A 16,766-nucleotide genomic window follows, 5' to 3' on the forward strand; every position below is an offset into this window, starting at 1 on the left:
AGGCTGGCGTAGTGGCTTGATCTCGGCTCATTGCAACCTCTGCCTCCCAGGTTCAAGCAGTCCTCCTACCTCAGCCTCTGGAGTAGCTGAGATTACAGGTGCTAGCCATCATGCCCAGTTAAGTGCAATATTTAAAGGGTTCTGAAAATTTTCTTCCTTTGAAAGCTTTCACTAACTGAGAACTTCAAAGTGCTATTTTCCTGAGAAATTCAAATAACTTTCAATTATTTCTAGGGTCCCCTAGCAGTTACTTGGGGAAATAAAAAAGAAAATTCAATGTCTATCTTACTCCTCATGCCAAAATAAATTTCATCTGGATAGAAGCTTTGAATGTAAAACAAAAAAAATAAATAAATAAAAAATAAAACCAATCAACAAACTTGGGAGTATTACGTTAAAACTAGGGGAAAAAAAATATATATATATATATTTGGAAACGGAGTCTCGCTCTGTCGCCCAGGCTGGAGTGCAGTGGCTCAAGCTCGGCTCACTGCAACTTTGGCCTCTTGAGTTCAAGCAATTCTCCTGCCTAAGCCTCCCAAGTAGCTGGGACTACAGGTGCCCACCACCACGCCTGACTAATTTTTTTTTTTTGTATTTTTAGTAGAGATGTGGTTTCACCATGTCGCCCAGGATGGTCTCATACTCCTGAGCTCAGGCAATCCACCTGCCTTGGCCTCCCAAAGTGCCAGGATTACAGGCATGAGCCACCACGCCCAGCCAGGGAAAATATTTTTATAATTGACAAATTAGAAGTCACGAAAAAAAAGCAATGAATTAGGCCCCCCAAAATTTTAATTCTTTGCATGTGCTTTGGAACATTTTGCTGATCTTATACCAAGATAATTTTTTTAAGGAAAATGAGATCAGTGAGTACTTACTGCTCTGCAAGCTATTTTTATTCACTTGGCAGTAAAATAATGGCATCTTTCCAAGTGAGTGCATTTGTTTTAATGGATGTATTAGTATCTCATTATATAAAAGTCTATATTTAGATATTACCCTCTTCTCTTTTGTTAATATCTTAACTAACTAGGTTATATGAGGAGCAAAGAATGAGCCTACACCCAGCACCTAAACCAATGGTTTCATGACATTCTCTGCTCCAACATGTGGCTAGAGACAAGTGATTCTGAGAAGAAAACTGCCAAATCACAGAACAAGTTTACACTACTCCAGGTGGATAGGAAGTTTAATATTTAAAAAAAAAAACAGGCTGGGTGCGGTGGCTCATGGGTGTATCCCAGCACTTTGGGAGACCAAGGACAGAAGATGACTTGAGCCCAGGAGTCTGGGACCAGCCTGGGCAACATAGGGAGATCCTCGTCTTTACAAAGATAATAAAAAATATTAGCCAGGCATGGTGGTGCACGCCTGTAGTCCCAGCTACTGGTGGGGGAGCTGAGGTGGTGGTGGGGCTGCAGTTGGTGGGGGGGATGATGAGGTGAGAGGATGGCTTGAGCCTGTGAGTTCAAGCCTGCAGTGAGCTATGATAGCGCCACTGCACTCCAGTCTAGGTGACAGAGCGAGATCTTGTCCCAAAATAATAATAATAATAATAATAAAAACAAATAAAAAACAAAAGTTCATTTAGATTTTGAAGATAATAAACGTATGAATATTTAAAATTACACAGTTTTGCTTTCCAGAGTGATGATAAAAGTGTACCATTTGAGTCACTAACTCTTTTTTTTCTTTTTAAGAGAGTCTCGCTCTGTCTAGCAGGATGCAGTGCAGTGGCACGATCTCAGCTCACTAAAACCTCCGCCTCCAGGGTTCAAGCAATTCTCTTACCTCTCAACCTCTCGAGTAGCTGGTATGACTGGTGTGCACCACCACCCACCTCAGCCTCACACAGTGCTGGGATTACAGGCGTGAGCCACTGTGCCCGGCCCATTTTAGTCATTAACTTTTAAAAATAAACTTCACACAGCAGTACATCTCAGATGTTTATAACAAAAAGGAGGGTGGATGTGTGTGTGGGGGGTGAGCTTTCTAATTTGACCACGTCAATATTGTATCTGCCAAGCAGTTTCCAACTTGTATCAAGTCAAATGAGTACTTAGTTGTTTTCTTTAGTTCTTAGAATATTTCCCCTACATTCTCCATGGCTCGGTTCTTTCCAGAAAATTCCCTGGATGGAATTTTCCACATAGCCCAGCAGAGGGCCCTGTATTCTGAGCCACAGTCAGGCATACACAGAAGACACTGCAGACACCAATCAGCAAATCAGGAACGAGAATTCCTCTCCTCCCACACTCCAGCCAAAGGGCTCTCAGGTTCCAGTTGCAGCCGGTCAGCTAACAACTGACGGTGTCTGCACTTCCTTTTAGTCTAGGCGGCGGTAGAAATGGTTTCTAAGAATACCCAGTGGCTCTGGAAAACATTTCCATCATGTGAATGAGCCTGCGCGTATTTTATATTACAGCTTTTATTCCCCTCAGATTCCTATTCTCATTTTAAAATGTATTTAAAAGATATAGAGACATATAAAGCCTTCAGAGGAAAATGCATTAAAAAGGAATATATCACAATGGTAAACCATGATTACTACTAAAGAGATTATGGCTTATTTCACTCCATTCTTTAATTTCCCAGATTTTACACCATTATCGTGTTTCTTTTATTTTGAATATTCTCTTTTCAGAAAGAGAAAATATAGTTTGAAAAAGCGGCTGGGTGTGGTGGCTCATGCCTTTAATCCCAGCACTTTGGGAGGCCAAGGTGGGTGGATTATTTGAGGTCAGGAGTTCGGGACCAGCCTGGCCAACATGGTGAAACCCTCTCTCTACAAAAATACGAAACTTAGCTGGGTGTGGTGTCGGGCGCCTGTAATCCCAGCTACTCGGGAGGCTGAGGAACGAAAATTGCTTGAACCCGGGAGGCGGTGGTTGCAGTGAGCCGAGATCGCGCCACTGCACTCCAGTCTGTCTCAAAACAAACAAACAAACAACAACAAAAAGGCAAGAGACAGGAAGTAAATATATGCCCATCAAAAAGATTAAAAACACTTGGAGCAATTTTTAAAAATCTGTATTAAAAGAATTTTTAGAACATAAGTGGGTGCTTATGTGTAAAATAATATACAAGAAAGTAATTTATTTAGCCTATATATATATAACTGATCATTTTAACCCTTGTAGCCAAAAAGTAGAAGCACCCACTTATGTGCAGAGGGTACAGATATCTTTTCCAGAAAGAAATGAAAAACACTGCACCATGAAGTGCCGTTATTTTTATCTTGATTTCAAGGAAGAGAAGACCCTGTCTGATGACTTTCTGTCATTAAAGTATATTTTGAATGAAAGGATCATTTACCCATTTATTCCACAAATATTTAGAGATTCAGATACTTTTCATACCATGAACTCCCCAACCCTCCGAAGAAAAAGGGACCTCATCTAGATCACAAGCCCCTCTTCTTAGGAAACTGGAACTGTTACTATCACTCCAACCCCAGCTGTCACTTGGCTAAGCCCCACTCATTCTTTAGTCCTCCAACTATTCTTCAGGGAGACCTCATCTCCTTGGACCTTAACTGGCCTCTGCCCTCTGGGCATTGCCTTCCTCAGTACCCGTGGATGGGCCCAGTCATCAAACCCATTGCAGACACGGAGGGCTTCTCTAAACTGTGAGTACAAGGAAGGGCCAGGAAACCCTTGAGCCAAACCTGCTGACATGGAAGTCCTATGTACATATATGTAGACATACAGAATAAGTATGTTTGTAGGCATTCTTTAGTTCCAAGATAGGGGATTTCTTCTCTTTTCCACCATATTTTGTTTTGCATTTTAAAATGCTTATTTTGTGCTGAGCGCGGTGGCTCACGCCTGTAATCCCAGCACTTTGGGAGGCTGAGGCGGGTGGATCACTTGAGGTCAGGAGTTTGAGACCAGCCTGGCCAACATGGTGAAACCCCGTCTCTACTAAAAATACAAAAATTAGCCAGGCATGGTGGCAGGTGCCTGTAGTCCCAGCTACTTGGGAGGCTGAGGCACAAGGATCTCTTAAACCCAGATGGTGGAGGTTGCAGTAAGCCAAGATCGCACCACTGCACTCCAGCCTGAGCGACAGAGCGAGACTTTGTCTCAAAAAAATAAAAATAAAATAAAATAAAATAAGGCTGGGCGCGGTGGCTCACGCCTGTAATCCCAGCACTTTGGGAGGCTGAGGTGGGTGGATCACGAGGTCAGGAGATCGAGACCACCCTGGCTAATATGGTGAAACCCCATCTCTACTAAAAATACAAAAATTAGCCAGGCGTGGTGGCGTGTGCCTGTAATCCTAGCTGCTTTGGAGGCTGAGACAGGAGAACTGCTTGAACCCAGGAGGCGGAGGTTGCGGTGAGCCAAGATTGAGCCATTGCACTCCAGCCTGGGCGACAAAGCGAGACTCTGCCTCTAAATAAATAAATAAATAATAAAATAAAATGCTTATTTTGAAATAATTTCAAACAGAAAACTTGTAAGAATAGAACAAAGAACTGTATATCCTCTATCCAGATTCCTCACTTGCTAAAATTTTACCCTGTATGCTTTTGTTTAGAGATAGTCTCCCTGTGTCATCCAGACTGGGGTGCAGGGGTGTGATCACAGCTCACCGCAGCCTCAACCTCCTGGGCTCAAGAGATCTCACCTCAGCTTCTCAAGTAGCTGGGACCGCAGGCGGGCAACCACCACACCCAGCTAATTTTTAATTTTTTTGTAGAGACGGGATCTCACTCTGTTGTGCAGGCTGGTCTTGAACTCCTGGGCTCAAGCAATCCTTCCACCTTGGCCTCCCAAATTGCTGGGATTACAGGCGTGAGCCATTGCACTTGGCTGCTAGTTTTCTCAATCAGAAGTGGTCGAGGTAACCTGTAAATAAGGATTAAAAATTTAAGATGTTCTAAAATAAAAAGAAGAAATTAGCTATTAAGCCATGAAAAGACTCAGGTGATATTTAAATGAATATTGTTAAGTGAAAGAAGCCAGTTTAAAAGGTTACATACTGTGATTCCAAGTATATGACATTTCTGGAAAAGGTGAAACTGATGAGGGAATAAAAGATCAGTGGTTGGCTGGGCATGATGGCTCATGCCTGTAATCCCAGCATTTTGGGAGGCTGAGGCGGAAGGATCACTTGAGGCCAAGACTTCAAGACCAGCCTGGGCAACATAGTGAGACTCCATCTCTATAATAAATAAATAATTGGTGGTTGCTTGGGGTTCCAGGGAAGGGATGGAAATTTTTAGTTTTATTAATAATTTGTAAATATTAATATATGTGGTGTGTGGCTTCTATTTGGATTCTTACTTTAGGACCTGTGAGGGGTGGGCTTAGAATATTGCATAGATGGGCCGGGCGCTGTGGTTCACGCCTGTAATTCCACCACTTTGGGAGGCCGAGGTGGACGGATCATGAGGTCAGGAGTTCAAGACCAGCCTGGCCAACATAGTGAAATCCCATCTCTACAAATACAAAATAATACAAATACAAAAACACAAAAAAATTAGCCGGGCATGGTGGTGGGCGCCTGTAGTCCCAGCTACTGGGGAGGCTGAGGCAGGAGAATCGCTTGAACCCAGGAGGCGGAGGTTGTGGTGAGCCAAGATCACGCTACTGCACTCCAGCCTGGGCGACAGAGCGAGACTCTGTCTCAAAAAAAAGAACACTGTATAGATGTTCTTCTTAAAGAAAAGCAAATTTGGAAGAACTTGTTCCACCAGATGTCAGAGCACATATAACTTAGCACAGCATGGTACTGCTGCAGGGATAGACAAGCAGATAAATGAAGGTGGATGGAAAGCACAGCAGCATGCCCAGCATGGACCCTTGGTCTATGATCAAGGTGTTATTACAGATCAATGGGGAAGGGCAGACCTTTCAAAACAGTGGTTCTGAGCTGGGTGAGGTGGCTTATGCCTGGAATCCCAGTGCTTTGGGAGGCTGGGGCGGGAGGATTGTTTGAGGCCAGGAGCTCAAGACCAGCCTTGGCAACATGGTGAAACCCTGTCTCTACAAACAATAAGAAAATTACCTGGATGTGGTGGCGTGTACCTGTAGTCCCAGCTACTCAGGATGCTGAGGTGGGAGGGTCACTTGAGCCCAGTTGTTCAAGGTTATAGTGAGCTATGACTGCACTACTGCACTCCAGCCTGGGTGACAGAGTGAGACCCTGTCTAAAAAAAAAAAAAAAATCTGAGCCCAATTGCATATCTATAGGGAAAAATAAATAAATAAAATTGGTTCCCTATTGCACACTATCCACCAAACATCAACTCACAGGATATTATAGATCTGAACATGAAAGGCAGAACTAGGCCCAGTATGGTGGCTCATGCCTGTAATCCCAGCACTTAGGGAGGCTGAGATGGGGGGATCACTTGAGCTCAGGAGTTCAAGACCAGCCTGGGCAACATAGTGAGACCTCATCTCAACTGAAAATTTAAAAATCAGTTGGGCCTAGTGGCATGCACCTGTAGTCCCAGCTACTCGGGAGGCTGAGGCACCAGAATCACTTGAACCTGTAAGGCAGAGGTTGCAGTGAACCATGGCTGCGCCACTGCACTCCAACCTGGATGACAGAGTGAGACAGTGTCTCAGAAAAAAAAAAAAAAAAGAGAAAGAAAGAAAGGCAGAACTAACTGTAAAGCCTTTAGTAAATAATGGAGTTTTGTAAATCAATATAAAAAGAAGAAACACAATGGAAAAGAATAACTATCAGCAACTCACAGTGAAGGAAGTTCAGATGACATCTAAACATGTGAAAAAGGGCTCTGTCTCACTAGAAACAAGGAAATTGCACATTAAAACCACAATAAGATTGTCAAACATGGCCAGGCGCGGTGGCTCACGCCCATAATCCTAGCACTTTGGGAGGCCGAGGCTGGCGGATCACGATGTCAGGAGATTGAGACCATCCTGGCCAACATGGTAAAACCCCGTCTCTACTAAAAATACAAAAATTAGCTGGGCGTGGTGGTAGGCGCCTGTAATCCCAGCTACTCGGGAGGCTGAGGCGGGAGAATAGCTTGAACCAGGGAGTCAGAGGTTGCAGTGAGCCAAGATCGCACCACTGCACTCTAGCTTGGTGACAGAGCCAGACTCCATCTCAAAAAAAAAAAAGATTGTCAAACATGTAAAAGTCTGATGGAACTGTCAATAGGTGTATTGTCATTGGAAATAGCTTGGCGATATCTATTAACTTTAAGGATACACACTCTCTATCAGCCAGAGATGCAAACACATGTCCACAGAGCCTAAGGAGGCATCTCTTTACTATGTGGGTCATGCCAGTGCAGGATTTCTCTAAATATTTTAGTTGGTGCACAGATCTTAAACCCCAGTGATTTGACCCGTGGGAGCCCATTTCTAACATCCACAAGCTAATAACAAACACTAATGTTGCAAATGAAAAGACATTTAAAATGCTCATTTTACAAATTATCAAAGCCTCCAGTGTTGCATGGTAGATAAACAACTATTAGTAGCCTTCCACAGTGACACCTTTCTTTTTTTTTTTTTTTTTGAGACTGAGTCTCACTCTGTCACCCAGGCTGGAGTGCAGTGGCATGATCTCGGCTCACTGCAACCTCTGCCTCCCGGGTTCAAGTGATTCTCATGCCTCAGCCTCCTGAGTAGCTGGGATTACAAGCATGGGCCACCACACCCGGCTAATTTTTGTATTTTTATTAGAGACGGTTTCACCACGTTGGCCAGGCTGGTCTCGAACTCCTGGCTTCAAGTGATCCACCCGCCTGGGCCTCCCAAAGTGCTGGGATTACAGGCATGAGCCACTGCGCCCAGCCCACAGTGAGACCTTTCTAATCAAATGTCAGCTCACTGTGCATGGTTAGGAACTCCCAATTAGAATGACTTGTTGTCCTCAGGTGTCAATTAAGACCAACCTACCTGAGGCAGACACTCTGATGTGCCTCCTGGATCCCACTTCAAGCAGGGGCTTGTTTTTCCAGCACTGGCAGTGCTGTGAGCAGATAGCTCTCAATTGCCAGCCCCTTCAGGAGTGGCCTCAGCTGCGGAAAGCCTCCTTGTGCAAGGGCATACCCTTCCCAGGGCAGTCCACATCCACAATTGATCAATGAGGGGATACGAAGGCCTGGTCATCTTCAGCCAGCTCGAGAAATCTCTGATGGACCAACGTAGCTCCAGAACTTTCCTGCAGGATCATCCAAGGCTGTGCTAGGGACTGTATCATAGCTGTATGGTCCCTCTGTCCAATCCTACCTCTTCCGCTTTCCTTCACATGCATTGATAGCAAGTAAACAGTCTGTGCGCTCAACTCCATCTCAGAGCCGGCTGGTTAGAAAAACCAACCTCCCAGCACTTTGGAAGGCCGAGGCGGGCGGATCACTTGAGGTCAGGAGTTCGAGACCAGCCTGGCCAACAGGGTGAAACCCCGTCTCTACTAAAAATACAAAAATTAGCTGCGTGTGGTGTTGAGTGCCTGTAATCTCAGCTACTCAGGAGGCTGAGGCAGGAGAATCACTTGAACCCAGGAAGCAGAGGTTTCAGTGAGCTGAGATCATGCCACTGCACTCCAGCCTGGGTGACAGAGCGAGACTCCATCTCAAAAAAAAAAAAAAGAAAAACCAACCTGCAATATCTCCTTTTTATCTTGCTGCCTATGCTGTAAGGTTTTAAAGGAAATGATAAACATTGTGACTACCTGATTAGATGGATGAGTCTTTGGCTTCAAGGTACATGGTTTCAGAGCTGGGCGTGGTGGCTCATGCCTGAAATCCCAGCGCTTGGGGAAGCTGAGGTGGGAGGATCACTTGAGCCCAGGAATTTGAGACCAGCCTGAGCAACACAGTGAGACCTCATCTGTACAGAAAATTAAAAAATTAACTGGGCCTGGTTGTGCACGCCTGTAGTCCCAGCTACTGAGACTCCAGAGGCTGAGTTGGGAGGATCCCTTGAGCCCAGCAGTCTGAGGCTTCAGTGAGCCGTGATCATGCCACTACACTCCAGCCTGGGTGACAGAGCAAGACCCTGTCTCAAAAAGTACATGGTTTCAACAAACTTATGTATATAATATAAAGTTAATATTATATATCTAGATTACACCTCAAGTTGCAAACTTTCAGCCTACTGTGAAATGTGTGCATTTTGAATGAAGATACAAATGGAAAAAGTTATTTAACTCAGCTTGGTTTTCTATTAGTTTGCACAAATACAAAGTCACTCAGACTGTTGGATAAAACATGAAAACCTGCCCTCTAGTTGTAAAAATATATATATATTGCTCTAGAAATTGAGAATTGTATCTGAATTAGAACTTCGTATTAAGAGCCAGGCATGGGCCAGGCACGGTGGCTCACGCCTGTAATCCCAGCACTTTGGGAGGCCAAGGCAGGTGGATCACCTGACGTCAGGAGTTCGAGACCAGCCTGGCCAATATGGTGAAACCCCATCTCTACTGAAAATACAAAAATTAGCTGGGAGTGGTGGTAGGCACCTGTAGTCCCAGCTACTTGGGAGGCAGAGGCAGAAGAATTGCTTGAACCCAGGAGGTAGAGGTTGCAGTGAGCCGAGATTGTGCCACTGTACTCTAGCCTGGGCAACAGAGCCAGACTTCGTCTCAAAAAAAAAAAAAAAAAAAAAGATGTCATTTCTCACAAGAGCTCCACTTTTTAAACAGGAAGTTTAAGTGAAACTCACTCTTCTGTGGCATTCTCAATAGATTCAGTACCATGTTTTTAGCATCAATCAAAATCATTCTAATATTATAATACAGATGACATTGTTTCAGGAACAAGATTGGGATAAAAGAGTAAACACAGATTTAGAGGAGCTAGGGTAGGCCTGCTGTGAAAGACAGATCTAGGACCCCTCATTCTGTCCCTACCGAGTTCAGCTTTCTCATCCTTGGGACCAGGGAGGGAGAAAAGAGGTTCTTATTTTCCATATCTGCTGAACCTTGACTTTGTCAGCTTTTGCCTGGACTGATCCCAACTTCAGACACCCCACTCTACATTTGTGCCACAAGACATCTCTTTTTCCTTCTGTATTGAAAAAGAGTGCTCATGAGATAGAGTAATGTTTAGACTTAGGCCAGGGGCAGTGGCTCATGCCTGTAATCCCAGCACTTTGGGAGGCCGAGGTGGGTGGATCACCTGAGGTCAGGAGTTCGAGACCAGCCTGGCCAACATGGTAAAACCCTGTCTCTACAAAAATACAAAAATTAGCCGGGTGTGGTGGTGGGTGCCTGTAATCTCAGCTACTTGGGAGGCTGAGGCAGGAGAATCACTTGAACCTGGGAGGCAGAGGTTGCAGTGAGCCGAGATCGCACCACTGCACTCTAGCCTGGGTGATAAGAGCGAAACTCCATCTCAAAAAAAAAAAAAATTTAGACTTGAAAATTAGGCATCGCCTATAAAATGTCAAAGGTTGTCAGGTGAGTGCATTTGCGGATATCAGTAACTTATTGTTTTTTAGTGATTTCCCAAGGAAACATAAAAGACATTTGAATATTTTCCTTCCATGCCCCTGGATAACATCATCTTTGATCATGGAGTTATTGAGAACTTGAATCTGAGACAAAAAATGTTGTGTAATCTAGAGGAAAGAAACGTTCCCAGATCAGTTTTTTGTTTTGTTTTGTTTTGTTTTTGAGACAGGGTCTTGCTCTTTCACCAGGCTGGGGTGCAGTGGCCTGATCATAGCCCACTGCAGCCTCAATCTCCCATGCTGAAGCAATCCTCAGGCCTCAGCCTCCCAAGTAGCTAGGACTACAGGTGTGTGCCACCATGCCCAGCTAATTTTTTGATTTCTTGTAGAGATGGGGTTTCACTTTGTTGCCCAGACTGGTCTTGAACTCCTGGGCTCAAGCAGTCCTCCTGCCTTGGCCTCCCACAGTGCTGGGTTTACAGGTGTGAGCCACCTTAAACAAGATCCCATCCTTGAACAAGAAATATGGTGTATTACTTGCTTGGGCTGCCATGACAAAATACACAGAGACTTGGGGGCTTAAACAATAGACATTTATTTTCTCATAGTTCTGGAGGCAGGTACAGGCAAGGTAGATTTATTCTGAGGCTACTTGTCTGGGTTTGTAGGTGGCCGCTCTCTCGCTGTGTGCTCAGGTGACCTCTTTTTTGGGCATGAGAGGGGACGAGGTCTTGGTGTCTTTTTTTATGAGGACACCAGTCCCTCAGATCGGCATCCCACTCTTATGACCTCATTAAACCTTAATTGCTTCTTTAGAGGCCCTATCTCCAAATATAGCCACACTAGGGGTTAGAGTTTCCCACATATGAGTTTTGGGACTCAAACATTGAGTCCATAACATGGTTAAGGTGCCTTCATTCTCTACCATAAATAACAAGCTAAATGTACTAGACACACCTGTTCCCCATAAATATATTGGTAACATTTCATTAGATATTAAAGCTGAGGATGAAATTCTATAGCATAGTACTTTTTATTCCAGAGGGCTCAGAGAATATTCTCTCTATGCCTAAAGATATTTATGTTTCATATAAAAGAGGTGACTGGTGCCAGGTGCGGTGGCTCATGCTTGTAATCCCAGCACTTCGGGAGGCTGAGGCAGGCGGATCACGAGGTCAGGAGTTTGAGACCAGCCTGACCAACATGGTGAAACCCCGTCTCTACTAAAAATACCAAAATTAGCCAGGCGTGGTGGCGCTCACCTGTAAACCCAGCTAATCAGGAAGCTGAGACAGGAGAATCGCTTGAACCCGGGAGGTGGAGGTTGCAGTGAGCCGAGATTGTGCCACTGCACTCCAGCCTGGGGGATAGAGCGAGACTCCGTCTCAAAAAAAGAAAAAAATAAATAAAAAAAAAGAGGTGACTGACAGAAATATTGTGCTGAAGTATATTGTGTATCTAGACTGTTTCTTTTTGAACCAGAATAGGTTCAGAGAGGCTTCTTGTAGACTATTTCTACACCAAGCATTTAACTGCTAGTCTAGAATTAATTAAACCCAGGGTTGACAGACAGTCCTTCTCAAGAGAAAAGATACTCTGTGTAGAGAAACTTCTCCTGCCAGTGTGAAAGAAGCCAAAAGTTTTGGGGTAAACAGCAGCTTTTAAACAGACTTTGGGGCCGGGCACGGTGGCTCATGCTTGTAATCCCAGCACTTTGGGAGGCTGAGGAGGGCGGATTATTTGAGGTCAGGAGTTTCAGACCAGCCTGGCCAACATGGTGAAACCCTGTCTCTACTAAAAATACAAAAATTAGCCGGGCCTGGTGGCACGCACCTGTAGTCCCAGCTGCTCAGGAGACACAGGTTGCAGTGAGCCAAGATCATGCCACTGCACTCCAGCCTGGGCGACAGAGCGAGACTCCACCTCAAAAAAAAAAAAAAAAAAAAAAAAGAGAGAGACTTTGGGGCCAGATGCAATGGCTCACGCCTATAATCCCAACATTTTTGGGAGGCTGAGGTAGGAGGATAGCTTGAGCCCAGGAGTTTGAGATCAGCCTGGGCAACATAGGGAGACCCTGTCTCTATGAAAAAAAAAAAAAGTAATCGTGGTGGGGGGTGGCACGTGCCTTGTAATCCTAGCTACTCAGGAGGCTGAGGTGGGAGGATCACTTGAGCCTAGAAGTTTGAGGCTGCAGCGAGCCATGATTGTGCCACTGCACTCCAGTCTTGGTGACCAGAGTGAGTCCCTATCTCAAAAAAGAAAGAAAGAAAGAAACTTTGGCCAGAGTTATATCATTACTTTGAGAAAAGCACCCAAGGTATTGGTTTTGCAGATTGTGCGGAGTCATTAAGAAAAGGAACAGGCACTTCTGCTTCTAGCCAAAATCAATTAACAGGGACCAAATGTAACTTCCCATCTGAAACAGCCAAAAAATCCCAGACTATGTAAGTGAAACAAAGGTTTTAAAGACACTGGATATCAGGCAATGTAGGACAGTGGCCCCTGAGAAATGGGAAATAAACAAGGTGAGCCCTATGACTGTCGCAGCTCACTGCCGTGATAAGGGATAGAGTTTCCAGGCCATAGCACAGAGAGGAGGAATTGAGGTGAAATCTGGTAGACTCCTTGAATCGAATACATTTCTTTGTCATAATATTGTACTATAGTTTTGCAATATGTTATTATGGGGGGAATTTGGCAAAAGGATACACTAATCTCTCTGTGTTCTTTTCTCTTCTTTTCTCGATGGGAAGGTGGGGGTGGGGACAGGGTCTGTTGCCCAGGCTGGAGTACAGTGGTGTGATCACACCCATTGCAGCCTTGACCTCCTGGGCTCAATTGATCCTCCCACCTCAGCCTCCTGAGTAGCTGGGACTACAGGTGTGTGCCACGGGGAAAAATACACTGTATTAACACCGGTGAAAAGAAAGCTGGGGTAGCTATACAAATATCACACAATTTAGATTCCAGAGCAAAAAATATATAATGGAAAAGAAGGCCATTCCATAATGATAAAGCAGTCAATTAATCAAGAGAACATAACAATGCTAAACACTTATGTACCTGGCCAGGTGTGGTGGCTCACGCCTGTAATCTCAGCACTTTGGGAGGCCAAGATAGGTGGATCACCTGAGGTCAGGAGTTCGAGACCAGCCTGGCCAACATGGTGAAACCCCGTCTGTACTAAAAATACAAAAATTAGCCAGGTGTGGTGGCGCATACCTGTAGTCCTAGCTACTCGGGAGGCTGAGGCAGGAGAATCGCTTGAATCCGGGAGGCAGAGGTTGCAGTGAGCCGATATCACGCCACTGCACTCCAGCCTGGGTAACAGAGTGAGACTCAGTCTCAAAAAAATAAAAAATAAAAATAAAAAAAACAAAAGACACTTATGCACCTAAAACAGAGCTTCAAATTACATGAAGCAAAGCCAACAGAATTGCAGGGAGAAATAGATTTCAATTCCCCTCTTTCAAAAGCTGATAGAGCAAGTAAGCTAAAAAATATCAACAAGGATTTACTTGATGTGAACAACATTGTATTAGTTTGCTAGGGCTACCATAACTAAATACCACAGACTGAATGGCTTAAACAACAGAAATTTATTTTCTTCTCATTCTAAAGCTGGAAGTTCAAGATCAAGGTGTCAGCAGCTTTTGTTCCTCCTGAGCCCTTGCTCCTTGGCTTACAGATGGCCACCTTCTTGCTGTGTCCTCACATGGCCTTTTTTTGTGCACTCGTGCCCCTGCTGTCTCTTTCTCATCTTTTTTTTTTTTTTTTGGGGTGGGGGGTCAAGTTCTTACTCTGTCACCCAGGCTGAAGTGCAATCATATCTCACTGTAACCTAAAAGTCCTGGGCTCAAGTGATCCTCCCACCTCAGCCTCCTGGGAAGCAGGGACTAGAGGTGCACACCCCAATGCCCAGCTAATTAATTTTTTTTTTTTGTAGAGATGGGACCTCACTATGTTGCCCAGGTTGGTCTTCAACTCCTGGTCTCAAGTGATTCTTCCACCTCGCTGCCCAAGGTGCTGGGATTACAGGTGTGAGTCACTCCACCCCACCTCTTCCTCTTCATTTTTTTTTTTTTTTGTTTGTTTTTGAATTTTGCTCTTGTCGCCCAGGCTAGAGTGCAATAGCGCGATCTTGACTCACTGCAACCTCTGCCTCCTGGGTTCAAGGGATTCTCCTGCCTCGGCCTCCCAAAGTGCTGGGATTACAGGTGTGAGCCACTACGCCCAGCCTTCCTCTTCTTACAAGAACACCAATTCTATTGGATTAGGACCCCACCATTATGAACTCATTTAACCTTAATTTCCTCTTTTAAAGGCCCTATCTCAAAATACAGTCACACTGGGGGTTAAGGCTTCAACATGTAATTTTTGGGGAAACACAATTTAGTCCATAACAAACACTACTGGCCAGCACTGGCTGACCTGGGTACCTGCAGGCCACCAGGATTGCTAAAACATCTGTCGATGCTGTGACTGAACCTTCTGAAATGAAACTAGACTTCATTTTGGATTATTGGGGTGTTTATTCTTGTGTAATCTTATCAGTGTCCTTGAACTTGGATCATTCAATAAGTACTGCCAAGGGACATAGATATTTGCTTTGATACTTTAATAATTTCAGTGGTGATGACAGTGATAACAGGAACAGTTAATAAGTACTACACAGTCACTATGCATCAGGCATTCTGTAAAGTTTGATGCAGATTAGTTCACAGAATCTTACAAGAACCCTATGGTGAAAATACTTTTAGAAAATATTAAAGATGTTAAAGCCTATAATCAGTTGACTTAAAGTTAAAAAAAAATTAAAGATGAAACAGACACCAAGAGAAGAAACAGCTTGTCCAAGATCGCACAGTTATTAATACATAGCAGGACCTGAGGATATTCACACACACTAACTAGATAAGTGGTCAAGTATTAAGGCATTCTGGGTAACTTCAGAATTGATTTTCTCATACCACATCATGGTAGGCAACATTTACATGGGTGACAAAAACTATTGCAAGCTATTTTATACTATATACAGAGAGGACTACATGTTATATTATATCAATAATGATATAGCAAAGACAACATGTGGTTCACTTATCCAGAAAAAATGAAAATTATTTGGAGTATATTTGAAATTTCATTTACAATAATTTTATAAATTGAATCAAAATTTATTAAATATAGATGATGTAAACCAACAGATATTACACTTTTTTTTCTCCTATGATGGGTGGTGAAATCTACTGTGGGTCAGTGTATATGTGCTTGGAATAAATGTGTAAACCTTGAGAAAATTTTTACAAAGTGTATTTCTGATTGAAACCAAAAGAAGACATTTCAGAATTCCTTGTTTGGTGGAAATGCTTTTTGTTTCTTTGTTTAATTAATTACACTTTAAAAATAATTGCTGACCATACTGAATTGCAATCCCTACCAAGGGAGCTACCAGGGAGGGAGAGAGGTGTCTGTCACTGTCCATGGCATCTTAAAGGTTGCCCCCACTGCTCAGTGTTTGTTTATGGGTTCATATTGATCCCTTTGCTTAACTAGTAAATATTTTCCTATTTGAGAAATAATCATACTTAGCACAGAATGTCCTCATCAGAGTAAATCTTTAATAATAAAATTATACGACTGTTATTTGGTTTAATCATGTTTTTCCACTCATCTGATCCTTGGGTTTGGAAGTGGAAAATATATCAGCCTGCACTTTTTTTTTTTTTTTAAAGGAGTCTCGCTGTGTCGCCCAGGCTGGAGTGCAGTGGCGTGATCTTGGCTCACTGCAAACTCTGCCTCCCGGGTTCACACCATTCTCCTGCCTCAGCCTCCTGAGTAGCTGGGACTACAGGTGTCCACCACCATGCCCGGCTAATTTTTTTGTATTTTTAATAGAGAAGGGGTTTCACCTGTGTTAGCCAGGATGGTCTCGATCTCCTGACCTCGTGATCCACCCGCCTCGGCCTCCCAAAGTCAGCCTGCACTTTTGTTTAATTTTATGAAAATATGGAGGTACCCTATATAACATATAATGAACTTAAAAAAAATAATTAAACAGGCCGGGCGTGCTGGCTCACGCCTGTAATCCTAGCACTTTGTGAGGCCAAGGTAGGCATATTGCCTGAGCTCAGGAGTTCGAGACTAGCCTGGGCAACATGGTGAAACCCCGTCTCACTAAAATACAAAATATTAACCGGGCGTGGTGGCGCACGCTGTAGTCCCAGCTACTCGGGAGGCTGAGGCAGGAGAATGCTGTGAACCCGGGAGGCAGAGCTTGCACTGAGCCGAGATCTCGCCACTGTACTCCAGCCTGGGCGACAGAGCGAGACTCTGTTTCCAAAAACAAACAAACAAACAAAACAAAAAAAAAAAAAA

At 44.0% G+C, this 16,766-nt stretch overlaps 1 annotated feature.

Moving 5' to 3' along the window:
- Positions 2,102–2,396: an enhancer, noted in NCBI's record as "tiled region #9461; HepG2 Activating DNase unmatched - State 12:CtcfO". NCBI's record gives its function as "activates a minimal TATA promoter and a strong SV40 promoter by Sharpr-MPRA in HepG2 cells {active_cell/tissue: HepG2}" and the evidence as "EXISTENCE:reporter gene assay evidence [ECO:0000049][PMID:27701403]".

The sequence above is a fragment of the Homo sapiens genome, chromosome X, assembly GCF_000001405.40.
Source record: "Homo sapiens chromosome X, GRCh38.p14 Primary Assembly".
NCBI lineage: Eukaryota > Metazoa > Chordata > Mammalia > Primates > Hominidae > Homo > Homo sapiens.